The 27,779-nt window shown below is 40.2% G+C and overlaps 1 protein-coding gene and 1 long non-coding RNA gene across 5 annotated transcripts in view; one reads left to right on the plus strand and one right to left on the minus strand.

The window, feature by feature from the left end:
* Nucleotides 826-3,400, minus strand: LOC105375715 (uncharacterized). Its single transcript, XR_928565.3, has 4 exons — nt 3,318-3,400; nt 1,861-2,094; nt 1,362-1,513; nt 826-1,096 (listed from the first exon to the last, which is right to left on the minus strand). It is a non-coding gene; the product is annotated as an uncharacterized LOC105375715 (long non-coding RNA).
* Nucleotides 5,693-27,779, plus strand: part of SLC30A8 (solute carrier family 30 member 8) — a 226,498-nt gene continuing 204,411 nt past the window's right edge. For 3 of the 4 annotated variants that reach the window (NM_001172813.2, NM_001172815.3, XM_024447083.2), the window contains exon 1: nt 6,451-6,595. The gene's annotated coding sequence lies outside the window, so the exon portion shown is untranslated. Of the gene's footprint in view, nt 5,862-6,450; nt 6,596-27,779 lie in introns of those variants that run through there. The other variant, NM_001172811.2, reaches the window with a different exon arrangement.

Consider the following 27,779-nt stretch of genomic DNA (forward strand, 5'->3'; position numbering starts at 1 on the left):
CTTAACTTTTTTGTCCACAATAAGTAAATTATTCTAGCCCTTTGGTACTTAATTTCCCTCTGTATAAATGAGGAATTACCAAATTCAGCATTGGCAGATGAGCAGTTGCCAGCATCTCAATATCTGACCATTGTGTTCCTTCACACATTTTACGTATGAGCTCTTGGCCTATAAATATACGACTACTATATTAAATTTCATTTGTAAACTAGATTTCCTGTTTATTTCTTCCTTTGAATTTTATAGAAATTTTTAGGAAAGGGTTGGCATAGTTCCTTGTGATCTGTTTTTTGAAAAAGCTTCCACTTAACCTTTGGGACAATCATTCTCAAGTGCATTTTAAAGATTAACATTTATAAATTGTTGTAATTTTGTGTTTAAAAAATACTCGAGGTGATTCATTGTATGAGCTCAATTCCTTACAGAATACAGACTGCTGATGTTGGTTAATACTAATGTCATTTGATTATACTGATAATATATTGGGGATCAAAAGAAAGAAAATTTAAAAGAGAAAGTATGAAAATTGATGCATTGATTTTCACATTTTTAGATTTAAAAAGGTCCATTATTGTATTGCAAAGTTTTGATCACCACTTTTTCCCCACATCTTTTAGTGATGAACTTTGGATCACTGTATTTTTTAGAGGCGACAGATACAGAAACAGAACGAGAAACTCCTTTGTGTCCAAAGTGTCTTGTTTATGGAAGTCTGAGTCAGTGGAGGTGGCCTCTGATATTAACTGTGCAATGTGGAAATACAATGGGAGATTGATACATGGGACACTATCATTATTAAAAGTTTTTATTTTGTTTTCTCTCCAGTATGCTATCTCTTGCCTTTTGTTTGTAAAGTAGCAGAAGCCAGATGATTGTCTTTATATCGTTCTTTGCCATGGCGCTCAGCTGTTGGTCATTAGCTTGCTGGCCTGGCATCCTGTCAGCTGGGACACATGAGAAAGCAGAGAAACTTTTCTGAGGGCTGAGGCTGCCCTGCAATCTCCACTTCCCCTCTTTCCAGGATTTCTAAATAAGCTGGAGCAACAGTGTGACATTGTAAAGATCTATGAAATGGGAGCGATCAAACTGGTGCCAGCTGGAGGGGAAAATGAGAAAATAATTATAACCTAAATTATGCATCGGGGAAGCAGTAGCTGGATAAAATGAAGAAAGTAAGATGTTCATAACAATAGTGGGAGAGAGAGGGCCAAAAGAAGAGACACTAAAAACAGTTTTGTGAGGAAAATATTGTGCTTGGGTTTTTCAAATGACACAATTTCTCACAGCTTTAATTATGTGGGGGATTAAACCACGTTAGCAGGAAATGGGCTTTCACCATATGGTACTTGTTTAGCACCTACCAGTGAATAGATGCCAAATTAATTATGACAATTAGAAGCTTTGCATAGGTTGTTAGGCATTAAATTCCTTTACAGGTGGCCTGGATGAATCCGCATTTTGTTTGGCTTGCCAAATGACTTCTGCTGTAACAGGTGCTTCTGCAACTCCCAGCCTGGGGACAGATCAGAGTCCTCTGTGGGTAACCCCATGATGGCTGAGTCTAAACGAGTGTAATTATAAGAATCTCATCTCCCCTGCTCCCTTCCTGGCAGGGCCTAGGGTCCCGGCACAACCATCAGCTCTATTTACCGCTGTAATCACTGCCAGAATCCCTCTGTGCCTGGAACCTGGCACGATGCCCTCCAGTGCCAGCTGCCTTCTCTCTTGGTTGCTTTCACTGTTGCTGCTGCTGCCATTGCCGCAGCCTCTGTTTCCTTTTTGACCATGTCAGTAACGAAGGTTATGGTAGGGTGAGAAATACAGTTAGGGTGACAGTTGAGTCTGTGCCACCTTGCCTACCTCTCGTCTGGCAGCCTCTTGTTCCATCTGAGCTGAGTGCTGGGCAGTAGGATTCAGATGGGTGGACACCTATTACAGTAGCCTGTGTCAAGCACTGCTTCTCAGGGGGCTGTGTACCTCTCATCTGCTTCCTGATTCTGACATTGATGCATATTGGGGGTGAGAGGGCTTCACCTCTTCCTGAGGAGCAATAATGTCATAGTCTTTCTCTTCTGGGACCAGTACAAGAGGGATCTGTTGAAAAGTAATAATGATGAAACTAACAAAGGAATCAGCCACCACTCCCGTACCAGCCATTGTGCCAAGAACTGTGCATGTATCAGCTTATTTAATCCTCACAGTGACTTGTAGGTGTATAGGACCTGTTTTTGGAGCTATTTGAACTTGGTGTTTAGTCCTGGCTCTGCCACTTACCAACTATATGACCTAAAGCAAATTGCTTTAAATTCTTTAGGTCTCTCTAAGGAAGCCAGTGAAAATGGGACCTGTCTTATTTAAATCTTAAGTAACTCAAATCAGGTTTGGGAGAATGAGTTAATGGCGAATGAACTTCTACGTCATGTGTTTATTCCATATCTTTAGTTTCATATGATCTTACTACCTTTTTGGACTGATACTTTCCCTGCGCCCTTCTCTTCCTCACATCTTTATGTCTTGGTGACCCTCTGCCACCTGCTCGCTGTTAGGATGTTGTCTCAGAGTTCCCTCTGTTGATTCAAAAATTGACTTAGCAAACATGGGAATAGGCAGCAGGAAGATAAAAAGTGAATAGTCGCTGCTACTTGCCAACCCCTGAATCTGCCTGGCATGCAGCGCTATGTATGTTTACAACGTAATTGTCCCAACAAAACTGTGAGGTTGGAACTATCGCACTTCCCATTTTACAGAAGAAGAGAGTGAGTACTGGAGAGATGATGTAATTTATGACGATCCACTCAGCTAGCACGTAGAGATGTCAAGATTCACATCTGATGTTTGGAGTGGTCTGGCTATTGGGCCCCTCCCAAACTAATGAGAGAGACCTGGAACTAGTGAGTAAATTCAATATTATAATAGAAGAATGTATGAATTGCTAGGAGGGATGCTTTTTGCAGGAGTCAGACAATGAAGGTCTCATTGAAGACATGCCTCCAAGTTATTACTTGGTGTCCACCTGAAAAAAAGCCCTCACATCCTGTCTAAACTAGTTGAGTGATCTTGGATAAATTACTCCACCCTATTTAGCCTCATTTTTTTTTCATTTGAAAATGAGAGAGATAGTGGAAATGCCCCCTAAAACATTCCTCTAACTTAGAGCCTCTATTTTATTCTAATCCTGCCGGCTTGTAACTGGACCCTTCAATCACTTGCTCCTGACTTGCCAAGACTTTCTGATTCCCGTTACAGCATGATGGACAGCTGACCATTTGTCCCTGGCCCCTGGCAATGAAGTAGACTCTCCTGGTCTCAAACCTTACCTGACCACAGCGTGAGCTGACGCAGCCTTGATGATGACAGAAAGCAATTCTTGTCACTCTTGGATGCCCCTCTGCTCTTTTCACCCACACCATGACTGCAGCCAGGGGCAAATGTCACATTTGCACTTCTGAGACAGACAAACATCACTTAGAACTTTTACGTGTTATGATTTTAGAGGCAGCCTGCTGTGGCAGACGCTGCTGGCTGAGAACCGCGCCTTGTGCAGCCTCTGCGGCCGGATGGTGGAGTTGGAATCTTGGCTCCTTCACTTCCTCACTATGTTAACACTTCTGCAGTTCAGTTTGCTTATCTGTAAATGATTATGAATCATACTTACCCCAAGAGTTTGTTATGAGGATCTAGTGGACTAATACACATAAAGTGTTTAGAAGCATGAAAATAGTGGCTTATTTTTACAACAGCCAACCCAACAAGTGTTTTGCTCATCCTTCTTGCCTGTTGGAAGTGCCCAATTCCAAGATAGGGACAGAGATGATAGCTTCACTTTTCCCAGTCCCTCTTGCAGTTCAAGATGGCTTTTGAATCCAGTTGTGTCTGATAAAACATAAAGGGAAGTTTACTGGGGGGTTTCTGAGAAACAATTTTTTCCCCTTACATGAAGAGAGAAAATAAGGTGTCTTCCTCCCTATCTCTTTTTTTCTTTCTTCCAGGTATTTTCACATGCAATTGTAAAGCTTGCCTATGCTGCAGCCACCCTGTGACCTAGGTGGGAAATATAGCGGCACTTTGAAGATGACAGGACAGAAAGATGAAAAGCAGTGTCTTCAATGACATCAATGAGCTTCTGACCCCACCCTGCAACTGCCTACCTATGGCTAGTCTTGTTCTGTGAGACAATAACAATAATAAAATCCAATTGTTTGAGGCACTTTTATTGGGGTATTCAGTTTCTTGCACCTGAAAGCACCCTAACTGATAACTTAATCCCCCAAAACCTCCTGCCACAAAGGTTTGTGATAGTGCATCTCTGATGGCAACTGTACATATCATTGGAAACTATCGGCACAGGACTTCAGAGACATCATTACGTTGCTTAAATGTTTCACATATGCCTTTGGCGAGGATGAATTCTATGCAATAGTGTGTCCAGAATTTGGTGGGTTCTTGGTCTCACTGACTAAGAATGAAGCCACGGACCCTCACAGTGAGTGTTACATTTCTTGAAGACGGTGCGTCCAGAGTTTGTTCCTTCTGATGTTCGGACACGTTCAGAGTTTCTTCCTTCTGATGGGTTCGTAGTCTTGCTGGCCTCAGGAGTGAAGCTGCAGACCTTTGCAGTGAGTGTTACAGCTCATAAAGGCAATGCAAACCCAAAGAGTGAGCAGCAGCAAGATTTATTGTAAAGGACAAAAGAACAAAACTTCCACACAATTGAAAGAGAGCAGAGCCGGTAGCCACTGCTGGCTCTGGCAGCCTGCTTTTATTCCCTTATCTGGCCCCACCCTCATCCTGCTGATTGGTCCATTTTGCAGAGAGCTGATTGGTCCGTTTTGACAGGGTGCTGATTGGTGCGTTTACAATCCCTGGGCTACACACAAAAGTTCTCTAAGTCCCTACTAGATTAGCTAGACACAGAGCACTGATTGGTGCGTTTACAAACCTTGATCTAGACTCACGGTGCTGATTGGTGTGTTTACAATCCTTTAGCTAGACATAAAGGTTCTCCAAGTCCCCACCAGATTACCAAGATACAGAGTGCTGACTGGTGTGTTTTACAAACCTTGAGTTAGACACAAAGTGCTGATTGGTGTATTTACAATCCCTTAGCTAGACATAAAGGTTCGCCAAGTCCCCACTAGACTAAGGAGCCCAGCTGGCTTCACCTAGTGGATCCTGCACTGGCAGCAGGCGGAGCTGCCCGCCAGTCTCGCGCGCCCTGCGCCGGCAATCCTCAGCCCTTGGGCGGTGGACGGAACCGGGCGCCGCGGAGCAGGGGGCGGCGCTCGTCGGGGAGGCTCTGGCGTCGCAGGAGCCCACCGCGGGGGTTGGGAGGAGGCTCGGGCATGGCGGGCTGCAGTTCCCCAGCCCTGCGCCGCGGGGAGGCAGCTGAGGCCTGGCGAGAATTCGAGCGCAGTGCCGGCACTGCTGGGGAACCCGGCGCACCCTCCGCAGCTGCTAGCCCGGGTGCTAAGCCCCTCACTGCCCGGGCCGGCCGGCGGCTCCGAGTGCGGGGCCCGCGGGGCCCACGCCCACCCGGAACTCGCGCTGGCCCGCGAGCGCCGCGCGCAGCCCAGGTTCCCGCCCGCGCCACTCCCTCCACACCTCCCCACAAGCAGAGGGAGCTGGCTCCCGCATTGGCCAGCCCAGAGAGGGGCCCCCAGAGCGCAGTGTCGGGCTGAAGGGCTTCTCGAGCATGCCCAGAGCGGACGCCGAGGCCGAGGAGGCGCTGAGAGCGAGCAAGGGCTGCGAGGGCTGCCAGCATGCTGTCACCTCTCAATAGGAGATCAGTTAATGCATACTGAAGGAAGGCTTGTTGGAGAAGAATCCTCTCCTGAACCCTGTGGAGACTCTAGAATCCTGCGGTAAATGTTCTAATTATTGAAAACATTTCCCAATGCTCACCCTCATTAAGGATGTTCTAATGCCTAGGAGACCTACTACCTATCTGATTCTGTCAGAGAAGCCATTTTGTTTTTTGGCAACTGGAAGCAGTGGGGATGAAATATTTTCCTAAGGCGTCTCAGGACTGAACTGGCAGCAAAATAGTAAACTGTTTATCAGCTCTTAAATTTTTATACCAGGGAGGTTTAGCAAACTGTCAGAAAACAGCCTGAATTGAATTTCTATAATTACTGCTTCCAAATTGGTACTGAGGGTACTAGTTGCTCTAAACTTCTGCAGGATTCAGTCTGGGACTTTTCATGCTAAGAAATATCTCAAGATTTTAAGGTGGGATTGTCAGGGTCAGAGGACAATGTCCTCTGAAATCCACCAGTATTTTACTGGACTTTACGGTTTACAGTTTACCAGGTACCTTACAGTTTACCAACTGCTTTCCAGTTTATAATTTACCAGGTGCTGCCATAGCTGATAGCTCGTTAATCTTACAGTAACCAGCTGAAGTAGGTGTGCCGTGAGGCTATTGAATTTTAAGAAGCATCAAGAAAGCCTGCCTGTCTAACTTTGGAAATATCACCCTCATGCTGTCTTCCCAGGATGTCTCTCTCCCTAAGTAAGAGATGTTACTTCCTGGAGGGAATGCAGTGTTGGGAATCTGAAGACCCAGCTTTGAGCTGAATTTGCTTTGTGATACCTGGTGAGTCATTGATGTCTCTGGGCTTCAATTTTCTCATTTGTAGAAACTTGTAGAGTAAGGCATCGAACTCATAATCATCTTTAAGATTCTTTGGGTTAAGCATGGGCATCTCCTGCTAATGGTTTTAATTTGAAACAATGTTGTTACCAACTCATTAGTGTGAATTAACCTAGGTGGTGATACCAAAAGGTTGAGCTTTATTTAAAGTGTGCTTAGTGAGCAATTAAACAAGGGAAGCTTGTTTAAAAAGAAGAGTAGAAAAATACTGAAATTAACACCATTTGTCCCTGGCCCCTGGCAAGGATTGCTATCTGCTCCTCCTCCCAACCTTCTCTTGGCTATGCTCCAAAACGCCTTCTCTCTTGTAGCACATCCGATGTAAGTTTGCTTCCTATTTACTCCCTTAGCACTCAAGTTTCCCCTATGACAGCATCTACCACATGTATCGTAATACCTTATTGAATTATCTGTTCCCCACCCCGCCGTCTAGACTACAAGCAACATGAGAGCCCAAATCCCATCTTCCAATTTTTTGGTGATTCCTTGTATTTTTATAATTTTGCCTTGGGTTAACTTTATTGAACAGCATGAATCTAACAGTGCAAATTTGCTCTCTCTTCCTGTCATTCATTCAACATTTTTGTTGTGTCTACGGGGTGCCAGCCACTGTTCTAGGTATGTGTTGAGCATCAGTTTTAAAATAAGCATCTTTCTGGATGCTGAGCGTAGGACAATAAACCTGAAAAGATGGGATTGGGCTCTCATGTTGCTTGTAGTCTAGATGGCAGGGTGGGGAACAGATAATTCAATAAGATATTATGATACATGTGGTAGATGCTGTCTTAGGGGAAAGTTGAGTGCTAAGGGAGTGAATAGGAAGCAAACTTACCTTGGATGTGGTACAAGAGAGAAGGCGTTTTGGAGCATAGCCAAGAGAAGGTTGGGAGGAGGAGCAGGTAGCAATCCTAGAGAGAAACAACAGCTCATAGAAGGTGCTAGAGGTGAGCAAAGTCATCATCTGTATTAGGGAGTAAAGAAAGCTCAATATAGTTGGTGCTTAGAAGAAAGAATGAAGGTGTTAAGAAGTGTGGCTGAAGTGGTTGACAGAGGTGGACATATCATGACAGGCCTCACAAGCCATGCTTTGGGGTTCAGACTGTATCCTAAGAGCCTGGGTAAACCATTGAAAAATATTTTAAAATTTAACTTTTATTATAGCAATACTTGCACATAATATACAAATAATTAAATAATTCTAAAAGTCTTACACAAAAATTATCAGTCCCTTGAAGGCATCATGGCCCCTCACCCCAAAGGAAACTACTTCCAATTTTTTTTTTTCCGAGACAGAGTCTCCCTCTGTCACCCAGACTGGAGTGCAGAGGCATGATTTCTGCTCTCTGCAAACTCCGCCTTCCGGGTTCAAGCGATTCTCCTGCCTCAGCCTCCCGAGTAGCTGGGATTACAGGTGCTCACCACCACATCTGGCTAACTTTTTTGTTTTCTTAGAGAAAAAAAGTAGAGATGGGGTTTCACCATGTTGGCCAGGCTGGTTTTGAACTCCTAACATCAAGTGACCCGCCCACCTTGGCCTCCCAAAGTGCTAGGATGACAGGCATGAGCCACCGGGCCTGGCCACTTCCAATTCTTTTACCTTCTAGATAATGTGAGTAAGCATCTTTGTTTTATAGATTTTAGACATTATGTCTTCCTATTATGACAAAGAAGAATTTTATTTATTTATTTATTTATAATGTCAATTTTTATTTTAGATTCAGGGGGTATATGTGCAGATTCTTTTTACCTGGGTATATTGCGTGAGGCTGAGGTTAGGGGCATGGTTAATCTCAGCACCGAGATACTGAGCATAGTGCCCGGTAGTTTTTCAATGCTTGCCTCCCTCCCTTTCTCTCCCCTTTTAGTAGACCCCCATGTCTATTTTGCCATTTTTGTGTCCATGAGTACCTAAAGTTTAGCTCCCACTTATAAGTGAGAACATGTGGTATTTGGTTTTCTGTTCCTATGTCAATTTGCTTAGGATAACAGCCTCCAGCTGCATCCATGTTGCTGCAAGGACATGATTTTGTTCTTTTTTATGGCTACATAGTATTCCATGGTGAATACGTACCACATTTTTTTTCAATCTAATCCATCGTTGATGGGCATCAAGGTTGATTCCATTTGACAAAGGAGAATTTTATATCTCTTATGCTTTCTCTTCCTAATCCCTTTATTCTTTCTAATACGACTATTTTGTATTTTTCTTACATTTCTATTTATAATTTTAATTATTGTTCCATGCTGAGTCAAGTAGTGGACTGTGATTATATTTTCTTCTTGTATAAATTTTCATTTCCTTTGATGTTGATAATTACATTGCTTGTTCTGCTTAGCTTTCTTTGAATCTTTGGCCGAATCTTCTCATATCATTCCACAGCTCTGTAAAAACACTTCTACTATCATCTCATCTCTACTTCCTGTATTACCTGGAACTTGCAGCTTTCTAGGGTTCTATGTGGGCAATTTTGCTTGCTTCTTATGAAATTCTTAATTTGCAGGCACTCATGTCTGACTTTCCCTGCTCTGCTGGGTTTTGTAGCATTTTTCTATCAACTTTTTTTCTTCATCTCGTTTTCTGTTTTCCCCCATTTCAAGTTCTATTTATTTCTGATTTAATCAAAGATGAAATCTGAATTCCTGTTTCTTTCTGGAATAGAGTTCCAGAAGATCTCTACTCCATCTTAAAACTGTAATTCATTCATGAGATTTAAGTAGAGGATTCTCATATTTGCTTTGAATAAGCATCTCTCTGGCAGCAGTGTGGAAAGAATGAATCTGAGGGGAGTTGGATTAGGTTTAGGGCCAGCAAATAGGTCAGACGATAAGAGACTGGAGTAGGGTGGTGTTAGTGAGGATGCAGAGAGTAGTCCTAACTTAGAAATAATTAGGAGAAGAATAATCAATAATTTTTGGTAAGTAATTGGATGTGGGAGTGAGGGAGAAGTTGGAGATAAGATAATGAAGATAATGCCCTCATTTTTAGCATGGAAAGATGAGTAGATGGTAATATCATTTATGACAGTAGAGGGCACCAGAAGAGGATGGGACTTTGGAATGGGGAGACATGAGAGTTCAGTTTTGGACTATTGAGTTTGAGGTGTCTTTGATACATTTAAGTAGAGACATCAAATAGGCAATATTAAATGGCATTTGAAACCCATGGCAGTGGAAGAAATTAACTAAAACCAAGAGGAGAGAAAAGAGGAATTGGATAGAATCATCATAAATGTCAACATCTGATGGCTGGGCAGAAAAAGAGGACCCTACAAAGACGTCTGAAAAGCTATTAAAGAGAGAGAGAGTATGGTGTCAAAGAAAACTAGTAATGAGGGCTTGTCTAGTGGTCAAGTATGATAGACTAAAAATATCTTTTAAATTTAGTGACATAAAGGCCATTGAAGACCTTGGAAAGAACAATTTCTGTGGAATGGTAGGTGTAGAATCTGAGTAATAATGGGTTAAGGAGTAAGCAGGAGATGCGAAAATGAAAACAGTGAATGTATAACATTCTTTCAAATAGTTTGGTTTTTAAGAGGAAAGGAGGAGATAGCTCAGTAGCTAGGCAAAAATGTGATGTCAAGTTTCTTTTTAGTTATTTTTTCTAAGTGAGATATTTGAGTGTGCTTAAATGTTAATGGATAGCCAAATAAGAGTAGAGATCAATGATGTAAATAAGAGTAGAAGTCAGTGATAGAGTGAGGGCCTTGAGAAAGTGAGAGGGAAGGGTCTACAAAGTACAGGTATAAAGCTTAAGATTGGAAGAGGAACGCCACATCCATTGTTATAAGTGGGCATGGTAGAGGGCCAGGTAAATGTATCAGTTGATGAAAAGTTGAGAGAATTCTTGATGGCTTCCGTTGTCTGTGAAGTAGTAAAATTCAAGGATTCAAGGTTGTGTGCCTACAGTGAAGAAGAAATAAATGATGGGATCTGAGATCTGAGGAAAGTGGGAACAATTTGAAATAGCTGGTGTATTGGGTTGAATAGTATCCTTCCAAAATAGATGTCCACCTAGAACTTCAGAATGAGACCTTATTTGGAAATAGGGTCTTTGCAGATGCAATTAATTAAGATAAGGTCATTTTGGGCTAGTGTGGGCCCTAAATCTGATGACTAGTGTCCTTCTAAGAAGAGAGAAACAGTGACACGGATGCAAACAGTGGGAAGATGGCCATGTGAAGACACAAAAAGATACACAGAGAGAACACCATGTGAAGACAAGAAGAGAGTGGAATGCTGCACCTACAAGCCAGGGAATGCTGAGGTTTGGCCGGGTGCGGTGGCTCACACCTGTAAACCCAGCACTTTGGGAGGCTGAGGTGGGTGGATCACTTGAGGCCAGGAGTTTGAGACCAGTCTGACCAATGGGGTGAAACCTTGTCTCTACTAAAAATATAAAAATTAGCCAGACGTGATGGTGCATGCCTATAGTTGCAGCTACTTGGGAGGCTGAAGCACGAGAATCGCTTGAACCTAGGAGGCAAAAGTTGCTGAGATCACGCCACTGCACTCCAGCCTGGGTGACAGAGCGAGACTCTGTCTCAAAAAAAAAAAAATAAAAAAAAAGAAAACAAAAAGACAGAGATGCTGAGGTTTGTTGGCAACCATCAGAAACTAGAGGAGAATTGTGGGACAGACAGATTCTCCCTCAGAGTGCTCAGAGGACTAACCCTGCTGACTCCTTGATTTTGGACTTCAGGCCTCCAGAACTGTGAGAGAAAAAATTTCTCTCGTTTTGAGCCATCCAGTTTGTGGCAATTTGTTATGGCATCCGTAGGAAACAAACAGGAAAAAATGGAAAATGAGAGTGCATTACCAAAACTCAGAAAGATTATAAGCACTGTTGAGAACTTAGTTGAGGTTGGTGATCATGAATTTATGTTGGCAATAAATGTACAGCAGCCCAGGATTAACTGTGAAAGGTGAATAGATACATTAAAGCAGGATTCATATTCTGTCATGCATAAGCAGACTATGGACAAGGTGGCAATAAAACTGAAAATATTTCAACAGAATGGATGCAAAGATGATGAAATAAAGTGTGCTTTGAGTAAAGATTAAAGACTTAAGGTGACTGGAGGCAGGCAGCAGAGGGGTTCAAGGGACAGGCTGAAAATAGCTATAGTAAGAGAAATTGAGTAACAGTCAAAATAAGGGGTTAAGGTGAGAGAGTAAGATGAAGCTGAAGCATTTCTAGGCCATGACAAATTCCAGGATGTAACTGAAGTGTGGTAGAGATGACATTTCGATTTCATCGAAAATGAAAATTTCAGGGCCAGAAATTTAGATGGGTCGTCTATACTATAGTAAAAACTTCACTTTCTAGTGATTCTTATCTTTTAGTAAAAATCATGCTTACAACGAAAATACAATTCATTGGATTTAAAAGCATGTTAAAAAAACAGTGTATATCTATATAATAGAAATTCATATCTACTAAGGGGATGCCATAAAAAAATCAATTGGATAGTCTCTCTCTTATTTAATCCCATGGAGAATTACAGAAAGTGGACTTCATGTTTTAAATCAATGAAATGCCAACTTAAATGAAGTTGAGTTCTATTTTGAAACTTGAATTAAGTAATCCTGAAATGTTTCAAAATTAAATTCATCATCAAGGCACCGAAGTAAAAATGTTAAAATATAATAAATCTGTATCTTTCTGTCAGAATTACAAATGACTGGTACCAATTACAAAGTAGTCAACATCTTATTCATAGGCCTTAAAGCATACCAAAAATGACTATCATTGGCTATGTGATCACATTTTCATTTAATAAGTGACATGTAGAATAATTTTGACTCAAATAGTTTCAATACTCATGATATGAGTGCAAAACAAATATACAAATACTACAGATTATCATCTGTACAGCATAATTAAGAAAGACCCTGTCAGGGTACAGATGGTCTTACACATAAAAAAGTGGCATTTTTTATATTTCTTTACTTATAAAATCATCCTTCAACTCATGGGAGTAGTTAAAGAAACTGAGATAGCTATTTTGTAGGTGAGAAGACATAGGGCTAAGATGATAATTTCTTTCACATAGTTAAAGGGCTATTATGGGCAGCACCATTCTTTTTTTTATTTTTTATTTTTTATTTTTTTTTTGAGATGAAGTCTCGCTATGTAGCCCAGGCTGGAGTGCAGTGGCGCCATCTCCTGCAACCTCCGCCTCTTGGGTTCAAGCGCTTTTTCTGTCTCAGCCTCTCGAGTAGCTGGGATTACAGGCATGTGCCACCATGCTCGGCTAATTTTTGTACTTTTAGTAGAGACAGGATTTCACCATGTTGGCCAGGCTGGTCTGGAGCTCCTGACCTCAAGTGATCTACCTGCCTTGGCCTCCCGAAGTGCTGGGATTACAGGCGTGAGCCACCATGCCCTGCCTAGACAGCACCCATTGTTAAACTCAGGCAGTCAGCCCCTTCCCCCTGCAATGGGTCAACATGATGCCCCGAGAAACTCTGAGACTCAAAACTAGGGGACTGTCTTGAGACTCTGGCCCTAGGACAGTGACTTGGTGAGAGGATCATTCTTGCTGAATGGTGAGGTATTTCTATTGTGGGATTGTATGATATTGGCCAACTAGACTGGTGCTGACATGCTGATTTTGGGTGATATTTATTCCCATCAGAAAACAGGAAGTATCTGGGGCACTGGGCAACCAAAAATCAATAGCCATGCACCAGCTTTTTCCCTTCATGGTCTTTTTCTTACCATGGTGAACATCCAGTCTACAGCACCTGAGGGCAGCCCTGTGTCCTCCCACCACTGTCACCCATCTTCCCCACAGGATCTATGCCTCGTGTCAGGGAATCATCCAGATTTGACTGTGCCTATCTCCTTTGAGTGCTTTCAAGGCTTCTATTCCATGATTCTAATGTGCCTTTGTTAGCAATATCACTTATTTTCTTCAACTGATGTTGAACACATTGTGCTCTCCCAAGCAGGTCTTAAGTCATGCCACGTCAGGGCTGGACCGCTCTTCTTATTCTGCACATGGGCCCTCACTTAGGCAGGGGTGCGGTCAACATTGAAAGAGGTTCCATTCTAGGAATGTAGTGGTTATGGCGTTTTCTAGTGCTCTGCATTGTTTTGTATAGACCCATGTTTCCATCTGGTATTATTTTTTTAATGCCTGAATTATTTCCTTTAACATTTTTTTTTTTTGTAGTGCAGGTAAGCTGATAATGAACTCTTTTAACTTTTGTATGCCTGAAAAAGTTTTTACTTCTTTTTGTTTTTGAAATATATTTTTATTAAGTATAGACTTGGGGCTGACAGTCTTTTCTTTCAGTGCTTTAAAGATGATTCTTCACTGTCTCTTGCTTGCATCATTTCCAGTGAGAATTCTACTGTCATTTTTATCTTTGTTCCTCTGTAGGTAGTGTGTCGGCTGCATTTAAGATTTTTCTTTTTATTACTGGTCTTTAGCAATTTGATTATGATGTACTTTGATGTGTCTATCTTTGTGTTTCTTGTGCTTGGGTATTGTGAATTTTTGAGGGTCTCAAGGTTTATAGTTTTCGTTAAATTTGTAAACAATTTTATCATCACTTTAAGTATTTTTTTCTTTCTATCCCTTTTCCTTGGAGAATCTACTTATATGTATATTAGACCTCTTGAAGTTGTCCTATAGCCCACTGATGCTCTTTTCATTTTTTTTTTTTTTTTTTTTTTTTTTTTGAGGCAGAGTCTCACTGTTGGCCATGCTGGAGTGCAGTGGTGCGATCTCGGCTCACTGCCACCTCCGCCTCTCGGGTTCAAGCGAGTCTCCTGCCTCAGCCTCCCGAGTAGCTGGGACTACAGGCGCCTGCCACCATGCCCAGCTAATTTTTTGTATTTTTAGTAGAGACTGGGTTTCACCGTGTTAGCCGGGATGGTCTCGATCTCCTGACCTCGTGATCTGCCCGCCTCGGCCTCCCAAAGTGCTGGGATTACAGGCATGAGCAACCGTGCCCGGCCCACTCTTTTCATTTTTTAAAAATTTACTTTCTCTCTGTGTTTCGAGTGGTTTCTATTGCCATATCTTCAAGCCCATTAATTATTTTTCTGCAGTATCTAATCGGCTAGTGATCCCATCCATTATACTTTTGATCTCCCACATTATAGTTTTCATGTCTAGAAATTTTCCATATCTTCCATGTTTCCACTTATCTTTTAAAGCATATAGAATAATTTTATAGTAACTGTTTTAAGGTGTTTATCTGTCAATTTTAGTATCAATGTTAGTTCTAGATTGGCTTCAATTGATCGATTTTTCTTCTCATTATGGATCATATTTTCCTGCTTCTTTTTATGCCTAGAATCCTTAATTGGAATGCCAGACATTATAAATTTCACATTCTTGTGTGCCAGATATTTTTGTGTTCCTATAAATATTCTTGCAGTTTTTTTTCTGGGATGCAGTTACATTACTTAGAAACCATTTGATCCTTTCAGTTTCTGCTTTTCATAGTTGTTAGATGGAACCAGAGCAGCATTTAGTCTACTGTTAACTATTCCCAGCTATGGAGGCAAGATCCTTCTGAGTACTCTGTCCAAGGTCTTATGAATTATAAAAATTTCCACTATGGCTGTTGGAGACAGGCGCTATTCCCAGCCTGTGTGAAGACTGGGTTTCCTTTAGCCCTTTCAGATCGTTCTTTCTGTGCACATGGGCAATTTTCTTATATGCATGTGTTTATAAACATTCTGGTGAATTATCAGGGCATATCCCCTGAAGATCTTGAGTCTCTTTCCTCACCTTTCTGTCCTGCAATCTTTAGCTTCGTTGGTCATCATGCTCTCAACTCTATCTCTTCAACTCAGAGAGCTTGTCAGGCTACTCCCTGCATTGAAGCCTCGAACTTCTTAAGGCAGTCATCTGGGTCACTTGTAGGGATTCCCATGTTTGTTTTCCATCTTTCAGAGATCACTGACCTTTGTTGCCTAATGTGTTCAAAACTTTTATTTCATATATTTTGTCTGTGTTTATTTTGTTTGTTTCAGGTGGGAAAATGTATGTAGCCCTAGCTGAAGCTGCCTATCTCATCATATTTTAGGAGCTGTTAGTTTGTAAGGACCAATGAAGTAATGTATCATAGAATGCTACGTCATTTGATAGAATAGAGGATGACATTTGACCTTCACTTTTTTTGAAAGGATGCTCTTTATTAATATTAACAGAAGAAGATAGAAAGTTCAAAAGGTCTTGTTTGCTTAAACTGATGTTAATCATGAAATTTTTAATCTAAGAAAAGATAATTACTGGGACATTGTGGTAAGAAGTTGAAAAAGCATGTAACTTGTCTCACTTCTTTCATTACTCTCATTGCCTTTACAAAGGGAAATACCGTAAGTATTCGTAATCAGAGACATGATCTCATCACCCCAGTCCATAGACTTGTCTCCACATACAACGTCGCAGTAAGAGGTAGAAATAGTAGAATTTATTTATACATCCAGTTATTTTGAGAACAACTCTACAAATTCATTCAACTAATTGACTAAATATATTTGGAATATGTATGTGTATGTGTGTGTTCCTATTTCTTTCTACTTGTGTAGGGTAGAATGGGCAGAATCTAGAGTAACTAGAATAATTGAAGCAATCACATCTGAGAAACTGTGGGAAATGCAGGTCTTGACATCTTTAACAAGACTGTAATATGAGGAAAATCTCCTCTTTAATTTTCATCTTAAAGAATGTGAAAGACCCTAATGTTTGCATGCTATTGTGACTTGCTTTTATACCTCTGCTCTTTATGACTCTCCTATTTTAAGCAATGAGTATCCTTAAGATCTCTGTAATATTATTAGTACAGAAGGAAGGAAGGAAGGAAAGAAGGAAGGGAGGTGGGGAGGAAGGGAGAAAAGAAGGGAAGAAGGAAAATGAAATAAAACTGTTTATTCACTTGCTAATTTATTAAAGATGTAGTTGTTATCTATATTAATGGAGTGCCTTGTTTTAAAAAGATTTATGGGCCAGGCGCGGTGGCTCACGCCTGTAATCCCAGCACTTTGGGAGGCCGAGGTGGTTGGATCACGAGGTCAGGAGATTGAGACCATCCTGGCTAACACGGTGAAACCCCGTCTCTACTAAAAATACAAAAAATTAGCCGGGCGTGGTGGCAGGTGCCTGTGGTCCCAGCTACTCGGGAGGCTGAGGCAGGAGAATGGCTTAAACCCGGGAGGCAGAGCTTGCAGTGAGCCGAGATCGCGCCACTGCACTCCAGCCTGGGCAAAAGAGCAAGACTCCGTCTCAAAACAAATAAATAAATAAAAAAGATTTATGGCAACCTACAAGTATATATGCAATGTAAAAACAGAATAAAAGACATGAATGAGATGGTTGGACAAAGAGAAATAAAACTGCAGAATGGTTGACAGTGGAGCAAGTTTAGGGTCTCATTCTGTTTGTGCTGCTATAACAGAATACCACAGAATGGGTAATTTATAAAAAACAGAAATTTATTTCCCATATTTCTGGAGACTGGGAAGTCCAAGATTAAGGCCCTGGCCTCTGGGGAGGGCCTTGCTGCATACTATGGAGGGGAAGAATGCTATGTCCTGACTTGCTAAAAGGGAGAAGGGTAAGAGAGAGAGAGCACCTACTTCCATGAGCCCTTTTTTTGTGTCGCTCAGACTAGAGTGTAGTGGTACAATCATAGCTCACTGTAGCCTCAAACTCCTGTATGAGCCTTTTTCAGAATGGTATTAATCCATGCATGAGGTCAGAGCCCTCATGACCTAAACGCCTTCTAGGCCCCACATCCCAACACCGTTGCATTAGGGATTAAGTTTCTAACACTTGAATTTCTGGGGAACACATTCAAATCACAGCAGTCAGTACTTGAAATATCTAGTCTTGGATACTTGCAAACAATAAGTTGAATGTTGAGCTCTAAGCTTTCTAGCAGCTAATAGCAACAACAAAAAAGATAATTTAATCTATTTCTGGTGTTCCATTGAAGACAAATTGTTTGCCATATACGTGGCTAGAAACTAGATAAGTTAACTCATTTTATTGGCTCATTAACTGTAAGGCAATTAGGTTCAGTGATGGCTGCCGGCAGTGATGACTTTTGGCTTTAGGACAGTTGAACAATAGACCTTATAGAGCAGTAACTAACAATAAGCACCAGTTTTCTGTGTAGGCCGATCCTAAGTTATGCCAAGAAAAGCCATGCCACCTGCATATAAAAAATGATTATGTTAATGCTCTTAAGTAATTCCTCCCTTTTTCCTGTCTTCATTTTAACCTTCTCCTTTTACGTTAGTGTCAACACATTATCCCATCATAGCTTTTATTCTCCTCAATCCGTCCCCAAACTGTTCTTACTGATGCTCACTCTAGTCATGGCATTAAGGTCACAGGATTTTATGAGCATCAGTAGCCTGGGAATAGTTTGAGTTTGTTCAGTTTAGTCACTAGTTGATTCGTTTTCACAGAATTAGAAATTAAAGAGCAAACAGTAAAAGTCCCAAAAATTGCATGTTGCTCTCAATACATTTATTCACGAGGTAATATTGTATAACCAGAGTCATGTCTAAAGGTGCTGCTTTTCATGTCTGACACTGCCCTGCAAAGCCCTGGTTTCAGTTTATTGGAAGAAAAACTGATATACCCTTTATTAGAAGGATTACTTCGTGAATTAACAGGTTAATAATTTGGGAGCAGCGTATGGTTATCATTTTAACATATAAGATAGAGTAATTTTTGGAAACTTTCCCATGTGCCAAAGCAGGGTACAAGGCAGAGTACAAGGAAAAGTTGCAGGCCTCAAGGAACCCGGAGTCTGGCGGGGAAGGGGACAAGTCAGCAAAGTTATGATGTGACCTGGTAGTTTGGTGAAATTAAAGAGAGAGAAACACGCAGCTCAGTTGGCCTGGGAGTGGAAGAGGTCAGGAAAGACTTTAAGAATGTAGGAAATCTTCAGGCTTGAAGGAAAAATCTCACATCATGGAATTGTGGAAATTACTTAAATTGGGCTTTATTTATTTCTCTAGAACCCAAGGCCCGTGAGAACCCTGCAGCTGTCAATAGCCCTCTTAGATTTTGAGCAGGACTATGGTTAAGCCCTTCCAGAAACCTGATAATTGAACTAACTTGAAAGTTAAAAATAAAAGCTGTGGTAGAATACACATAACATATAATTGACCATTAGTGACACTTAGCACTTTATAGTGTGATGCGACCACCATGACTACCTAGTTCCAGAACATTTTCATCACCCCCAAATGAAACGCTGTATCCATTAAACCATACCTCATCTCTTCCTCCCCAGATCCTGACAACTGCTAATATACTTTATGGATTTGTCAATTCTGAATTTTTCATATAAATGGAACAATACAATTTTTGTATCTGGCTTTTCACTTAGCATAGTATTTTTTAGGTTTCGTCCATATTGCATTAGTGCATCCTTTCTTTTTATGGCTGAATAATACTTTATTGTATGGATATCCCACATTTTATTTATTCATTTTTCAGTTGATGGGCATCTGGGTTGTTTCTACTTTTTGGCTATCGTGAATAGTGCTGCTATGAGCAACTGTGTGCAAGTTTTCATTTGAACACCTGTTTTCATTGCTTTGGAGTGTATATCCAGGAGTGGAATTACTAGGTCACACAGTAATTTTTTATTTAGCTTATTAAGGCACTACCAAATTGCTTTGCACAGCAGCTGTACCATTTTACTGAACTTACCTTTAATGAGAAAGTATTTCCTTCAAGGTTACTGTGCACCTTGGTAAATTATTCTCCCTACCAACTTCAAAAGATTGTTCTGAGGATTAATAACCTTTGTGAAACGTTAAAGGCCTTCTGAAAGCAGCCTTTATATAAATTAAAGGTATTATGTACTCAGGCATTCATTCCAGTGTAGTTCACAAGGAGTTTGATAGTTCAATAAATTTACATAAAATTCGATCTGGATAGGTGTGGGCTTTTACAATCTTATAAGACCTGAAGCTGAAAAGAGACAAATTGAGCTGAATTAGTTTGTCTTAATTTGACCTGTTTTTCCTAATAAGATATTGGAGGCATTAAAAAAGAGTACTATCCTTTTGAAGTATGAGCACGCTGATGCTGGTTGTTGGATCCATTAATTAATTTATCTCTATTCAGAATATTCTAATGAACTAAAACCCAAGATTGCTGTTAATTTAAAGCAGAAGCAAAAGCGTGGCTGAACAGATGATGTTTGCCACGTTTTAACAGACTTCCACAATGGTTCCTGAGAGATAACCAAGTGAAAAACAAATTTGAACTATTTTGTGGCTCTAAACTGTGTTTTAAAACTCTAATTAAGGGGGGCAGCCAGCTCCTATTACATATCTGGTGCACGTGGAGCTTTTAGGGGAGCTCATCATCCTAGCAAAGTGTTTATGCAGCACCTGCATCCTGGATGGGAAGCTTTCTGAGAATAACCCATTTCCTAGGTTTGAATCAATCCATGACTTGCCTAATGGATCAAGGTGCCAAAATGAGCTCACACAGCAGGCACAGAAGCCACATAAGATACCCAGAGCTCTGTTTTTGTTTTTCTCTAATTTAACATTTCTAAATGGCCTGAGGTTACTCATCATCTCTTATTAACCTACTAAAGCCCCACATTGGCTAAGGTAGATCCTTCACATACCCTGACTCAGTAAACACTTGGGAAAGAGTTTTAAAAGTAGTAAATCTTTAAGTATCTACTATGTGTTAATGAATTTCAAATTTGTTATTTCAGATCCTTACAACAACCATGTAAAGTAGGTAGTGCTTTTTGTTTGTTTGTTTTTGAGACGGAATTTCACTCTTGTTGCCCAGGCTGGAGTGCGATGGTGTGATCTCAGCTCACTGCAACCTCTGCCTCCCAGGTTCAAGTGATTCTCCTGCCTCTGCCTCCCAAGTAGCTGAGATTACAGGCGTGCACCATCATGCTCAGCTAATTTTTTGTATTTTTAGTAGAGATGGGGTTTCACCATATTGGCCAGGCTGGTGTCAAACTCCTGACCTGAGATGATCCACCCGCCTTGGCCTCCCAAAGTGCTGGGATTACAGGCATGAGCCACCACGCCTGGCTGGTAGTACTTTTATATTCATTTTGGAAGCGAAGAAAGTGGGTCTCCAAAGGCTAAGTAATCAGCAAAGCTAAAATACAAACTGAAGGATAGTTGATTCTAAAGCCTGAGATCTTGCTAATATACCAGTTACCTTCTCAAACAAAATAAGAGGGAAATGTAAAAGTAACAAGAAACATTAAAAATTAAAAAATATGTTCCTCCAAGTCAAGACATAAGATACATTGGACTATTTTAAAAATGTCTTACATTTACCTGCCCACTAGCTAGGTGTCTGCTGAGGTTGTTCTGTTCTTTGAGATCCAGATGAATTTGACTGGAACCCTCAATCTCCTGTGTGGTGTGAATTCCACATCTTTGCAGGATTTTGAGGGGCTTCCCATCGCCTATTCAGTCTGGCTCCAAGCTCCAGCATCTTCTGAATTAGTTTAGTTTATTGAGCATTCTCTTTCCCCTCCTGACCCCTAGAAGTGAAATAACAAAAAATTGACTGGTTTAAATCAATTTTGGCTTAAATAACTATTCTTTCTTTATGTGAACCCTGGGCATTAAAATCCCTGGATAATTCTTGACATTAACCTGTTTTTTTGCTACTCTAAAATCTTCTTGCTAGAGGCTCTTCCCTAACAATATTTTTAATTTTTTTTAATTTTTTTTTTTTTTTTGGAGATGGAGTCTTGCTCTGTTACCCAGGCTGGGGTGCAGTGGCGTGATCTCAGCTCACTGCAACCTCTGCCTCCTGGGTTCCAGCAATTCTCCTGCCTCAGCCTTCCAAGTAGCTGGGATTACAGGCACACACCACCATGCCTGGCTAATTTTTGTATTTTTAGTAGAGACAGGGTTTCACCATGTTAGCCAGGCTGGTCTCGAACTCCTGACCTCAGGCAATTCGCCCGTCTCGGCCTCCCAAAGTGCTGGGATTACATTTAATTCTTAACAAGACAAAGCAAACTAAGAGTGTAGCTGAAGCATGGTATAAAGATGGCGAGTGCAGGAGATGGAAGAGACTTGAGTGATTTGTGCCTTCAACACCTTTATATTATAGTTGAGAACACAGTGGATCAGTGTGGGTTCTGGTTTGCTCAAGTTCAATGGCTAGTTACTTGGCATATGCGACCCGTAGATATCTTGCTACTCCCTTTTCAGTTGTGTCTGCCTTTTTCAGGCCCTTTAACTGAGAATTGGAGTTTCTGGCATTCCTAAGTTCACCCAGCCCTATGAGACAGAAGCAGGGAATGAGGCCATAATCCTATAAACATGTTTTGCCTTAAAAAAAAAATCCTACAAGTCGGTAATACCTCTAGGTAACTTTAAGTAATGTTTTCTTCTTCTCTGACTTTCACAATCACAAGCAGCCTCGCACACTGTCACAGCTTAGGTTCTCCAGGACTGATGAATTATAAGGGGATAAGATTCTAATGAATTTGCCCACAGAAAACCTATTTTAGAAAAGAGTAATAAGAATCTCAGTTCTCCTAGCTGACATCAGATTCTTGAAGAAATATTTTCCCAATAATAGAAGAAAATTACCAGGGAAATAAGAGAGGAGGATGTTGTTACTCAGGTATAAAACAAAAACAGAAAGCCCATCAGTGGCATGATGGCAATGGAATTGAATCTCACAAAACACTTTATTGCTAATTTTCCATTTTCTAAACATGCATCTAAATATAATGGCCAAGGATTTGAATAAAAATCATTCTCTGATTCTTTCACCAAAGGGAGATTCAGAACAATTTGCAGTGATCTATTCTCATTTCTTGAGCATTTCTGACTTTTCAGCTGCTTCTTTTAAATCTTGAAAAGTAGTAAACAGCTATAGCTTGTCATTGTCAAAAGTGAAATGTAAGGGTATGCATTCTATAAAGGACCAAGATAATATCATGACTCAAATAAAAATTCCCCAGGGTAGAGGAATGGACTTTTAGCAATGTAGAATGAATATATTTTCAAGATTTCTCTGTCTTAAACGGTAGCCTAAATTTAAAAACACAAACAAAACCCACAAAAGCTGATTTAGCTTATATTAAAAGTAGATGGAAGAGAAGAGAGGAGATAATAAAAGAGTAAAAAAAAATTGAGGAACAACCAAATATCTTTTCCTTATGATTTTTAGATTGCCTGGAGAATTAATTTAATTTGAGCTAGTGTCTATCTGATGAAAATTGTCCAATAATGTATTTTTTTCCACGTTGCCCTGAAGATTGTCTGCTCAGGACATTGGTAGTTGACAAGAGTGTGATGCTGCCTGATTTCTATACTGATTATGCTACATTTTACCTCCATAGCTCTGAACCCTCAAGTCGAACTGTATTTTCCAATCTGCAACATGTAATACTGTGTCTTTCAGAATTCATAGGGGGTAATAAATGGGTACCTGAATGAACCAAGTCCTTAAATAAAAATCAAGTATTGATAAAATATACAGTAGGTTTCTTACGGTGGCGTGTAAGTTTGGAGAGCATAATCAGCCACAGTTAGAAGTGGCAATTCTTTCTAAACAATATGATATGATTTTTTAGATTAATACATGAAACAAAATACTGTGACACATCCAGCAATTTAGGGGTACATCTAGCTCAAGTTGGTTGAAGGTTGGAGATTCTGTTTCAAGCTGTAATGTCACAAACTCTCTGTAGGCAATATGAATCGTCCCGGTTTTCTCTCCTTCTGGAAGAAGATGCAATGCAGTATCATAAAAAAGACCTGTGGCTTGGGGCTGCACAAACAGATGAGGGTTGGGCTGGCTTTGCAATACTAATTCTGTGATCTTGGCCCAGTTACTTAAAATCTGAGATTACCTGCAGATAATGATATTTTCCTGATAAACGTGAAGATTCTTGACGTACTCAGATTTACACAAGTTACCTTTGTGGATTAGGAAGAACAAAGTATTGTACTTGGCAAAATTTGATAATTTGTTTCAACTCACTTGGCCTCAGGAGATGGTAACCACACTAATCAGCTGTCCTGCAGCAACAAATAATCCCCAGATTTTATTAGATTTATTAGATTACAACAAAAAGATTTATTCTCAATAGCTTATTATATAGCTATAGTATAGCTTATAGCTATACTATAATAATATATAGTATAGCTATATTATATAGCTTAGTATATATAAATAAGCTATAGTATATTATATAGTATACTATATTAATAAGCTATAGTATAGCTTATTGTACTCAATAGCTGTGAGTCAGATGGAGCAGCATCTATGTGGGGACTGTTTTATTCATGGCAGAGACAGAGAGATTGAGAATTTGAGGAAACTGATGCCTCTTCAAACTTCTGCAGGAACTTGGAAGATTGACATTCCATTGGCTAAAGTAAATCACATGACCAAGCCTGCCATTAGAGGGAAAGGAAGTATAGAAGTGCCACCAAAGGCACTGCAGGTCTCATGACAATGAATATATATATATATATATTCCATTCTCTTATAGGAAAGAGGAGTGAATAGTTGGGAACTACCTTCTGCCACAATGACTATTTCTTTTTTTTAATTTATTTATTTTTTGAGATGGAGTCTCGTTCTGTCACCAGGCTGGAGTGCAATGGCACGATCTCAGCTCACTGCAATCTCAGCCTCCTGGGTTGAAACGATTCTCTTGCCTCAGCCTCCTAAGTAGCTGGGACTACAGGCATGCACCACCATGCCTAGCTAATTTTTGTGTTTTTAGTGGAGAGGGGGTTTCGCCATGTTGGCCAGGATGGTCTCCATCTCTTGACCTTGTGATGTGCCCGCCTCAGTCTCCCAAAGTACTGGGATTAAAGCATGAGCCAATGTGCCCAGCCCACAATGACTATTTCTATTATCAGAGAAGGTGCATGAGATGCATGGACTTTTGAGCCTGGGTTTGTATCCCACCTCCAGTGTTACTTGCTGTAAGAACTCGGGGCTTGACATGGTGGCTCAGGCCTGTAATTGAAGCAATTTGGGAGGCCGAGGTGGGCGGATCATTTGAGGTCAGGAGTTCGAGACCAGCCCGGCCAACATGGTGAAACCCCATCTCTACTAAAAATACAAAAATTAGCTGGGCGTAATGGTACACGCCTATAATCCCAGCTATTCGGGAGGCTGAGGCAGGAGAATCACTTGAACCCGGGAGGTGGAGGTTGCAGTGAGTCCAGATTGTGCCACTGCACAAACTTGGGCAAGTTACCTGATGTTTCTGTGCCTGGTTTACCCATCTGGAAAACTGGGATAATAGAATCTACTTCATCTCATAGGGTTAAAAAATGAAGTAACTTCGTATGTATTTATCTATATGTACAGGCATGCATCACTTAATGACAGGAACACATTCTGAGAAATGCGCTGTCAGGTTTTTGTCATTGCGCAGACCTCATAGGGTGTACTTACACAAACCTAGATGGCATAGCCTACCACACACCTAGGTTGTATGGTATAGACTATCGCTCCTAGGCTGCAAATCTGTACTGCCTGTTACTGTACTGAATCCTATAGGTAATTGTAATACAGTGATATTTGTGTATCTAAACATATTAAAACAAAAATATGGTAAAAATATGGCATAAAAGATAAAAAATGATATACCTGTATATCAGTTACCATGAATGGAGCTTGCAGGACTGAAAGTTGTTCTGGGTGAGTCAGTGAGTGAGTGGTGAGTGAATGTGAAGGCCTAGGTCATTACTGTATACTCCCATAGACTTTTTAAACACTGTATGCTTAGGCTACACTAAATATAGAAAAAAATTTCTTTCTTTGATACTAAATTAACCTTAGCTTACTTTAACATTTTTACTTTATAAATTTTTAAATTTTTTATACTTTTAGTCTTTTGTAATAATGCTTCACTTAAAACACACATTACTCCAATGTACAAAAATATTTTCTTTATATTCTTATTCTATAATTTTTTTTCTATCTTTAAATTTAAAAAATTTTTAGAACTTTTAAATGATTTCTGTTAAAAAACCAAGACACAAACACATACATTAGCTCAGGGTCACGATCATCAATATCATTGTCTTCCACTCCCACATCTTGTCCCACTGGAAGGACTTTAGGGGCAATAACACACATGGAACTGTCATTGCCTATGAAAACAATACTGTCTTCTGGAATACGCCCTGAAGGACCTGCCTGGGGCTGTTTTACAGTTCACATTTTTTTAATAAGTAGAAGGAGTACACTTAAGTGACAATAAAAGTATGGTATAGTAAGTACATAAACCAATAACATAGTCCTTTATTATCATTATCAAGAATTATGGACTGTACATAATTGTATGTGCTATACTTTTATACGACTGGCAGCACAGTAGGTTTGCCTACACCAGCATCACCAGAAACACATGAGCAATGTGTTGGACTATAACTTTATAATGGCTATGATGTCAGTAAGCTATAGGGATTTTTTCAGCTTCATTTTAATTGTATGGGACCACCATCATATATGCTGTCTGTTGACCAAAACGTCATTATGTGGCTCATATCTGTATTCATACCTACACACACAAATATATAAAATCACTTAGAACAAAGGCTGACATACATAGCCTCAGATGTTAGCTATTTTTTTTATTACTGATTATATTATGAAAATAAGGCCGGGGGTGGTGGCTCACACCAATAATCCTAGCACTTTGGGAGGCCGAGACAGGTGGATCACCTGAGGTCAGGGGTTTGAGACCAGCCTGGCCAACATGGCGAAACCCCGTCTCTACTAAAAACACAAAAGTTAGCCAGTTGTAGTGGTGCATGCCTGTAATCCCAGCTACTTGGGAGGCTAAGGCAGTAGAATAGCATGGACCCAGCAGGCGGAGGTTGCAGTGATCTGGGATCACGCCACTGTATTCTAGCCTGGGCGAAGAGTGAGACTCTGTCTCACAATAACAACAACAACAACAACACACACACAAAAAAGAAAAGAAAAGAAAATAGTTAATGCATGTTGAGCTGAATACCTAGGTGATGGGTTGATAGGTGCAGCAAACCACCATGGCACGTGTTTACCTATGTAGCAAACCTACATATCCTGCACATGCATCCCAGAACTTAAAATAAAATAGTAATGTTATAGAGGCATTCCCTGTAGGAAAAAAAAAAACAAAAACACATCAACTAAATTAAAGTAGCTGTGGTGGGGAAATGGTGTACGTATTTCCTCTTAAGTGACTTCTACACAATTCGATTGCTCCATGACATTGATTCTTTACTACTTTCTTCCTCTGTCTTATAGTCACCCATCTTTAGAGATGAACTGGCAGAAAATGTAAGCAGTAAGAATTCATGCCTAATATTATGGTATAAACCACTAACTTTGTTTCCTATCTTTGAGACTTTTTGATGATATTCCTATTTTCAACAGCTTTTAGAGGAAACATTTTTTTTTTTTCCAGAATCTTTTCCTCTGTGTTTTCAAAGAATCAAATTCAGAAAGATGTTGGGTTCTGGGAATGAACAATTAATTTTTCATTCTGCCCTAGGCTTGTCTCTGTAGACAATGAATATTGGACCCTTCCACTATTTTAATACTCTATTTTGAGGAATAATCAAATAGGCAATTTCCTAAATAGCACTGCAACTGTAATAATGCAAATGCCTCACCGTCATAATGATAGAGGTTCTATAATGCAAATTGAGTATGGCTTATTTCCTTTCTCTATATCACAGATTCTGCTGGAAAATTTAGTGTTAATTTCCTTTGAATAGCATCTCTGAAATTTAGTAGGTGAGGAGAAATATCTATAAACTGAGATATATATACTAATAAATGTTTAAACTAGAACAATGATAATTTTTCCTATCATAAAGAAACCTAGTGAAAAACTAGCTCAAGTCTTGTAACTGCTTATTTCAAATACTATAAAAGCCCTACCAAGTGGAAAAGAACCAGTTATGTAATACCTTTGTTCAAAAATTTTTATTTTCTTCTTCTTCCCAAGAAACATGTCTAATTATAAATTTACACCTCACCCTCTAACCATTAGAAATATCATGCAACATTCTTCATGCTCCTGATGGCACAAAGATCAGTCATCTGGGGAGCAATTTATACTTTTGCTGAAAAGGCTGTCTGGGCACCAGGTTTGAATC

Source organism: Homo sapiens, chromosome 8, assembly GCF_000001405.40.
Source record: "Homo sapiens chromosome 8, GRCh38.p14 Primary Assembly".
Taxonomy (NCBI): Eukaryota; Metazoa; Chordata; class Mammalia; order Primates; family Hominidae; genus Homo; species Homo sapiens.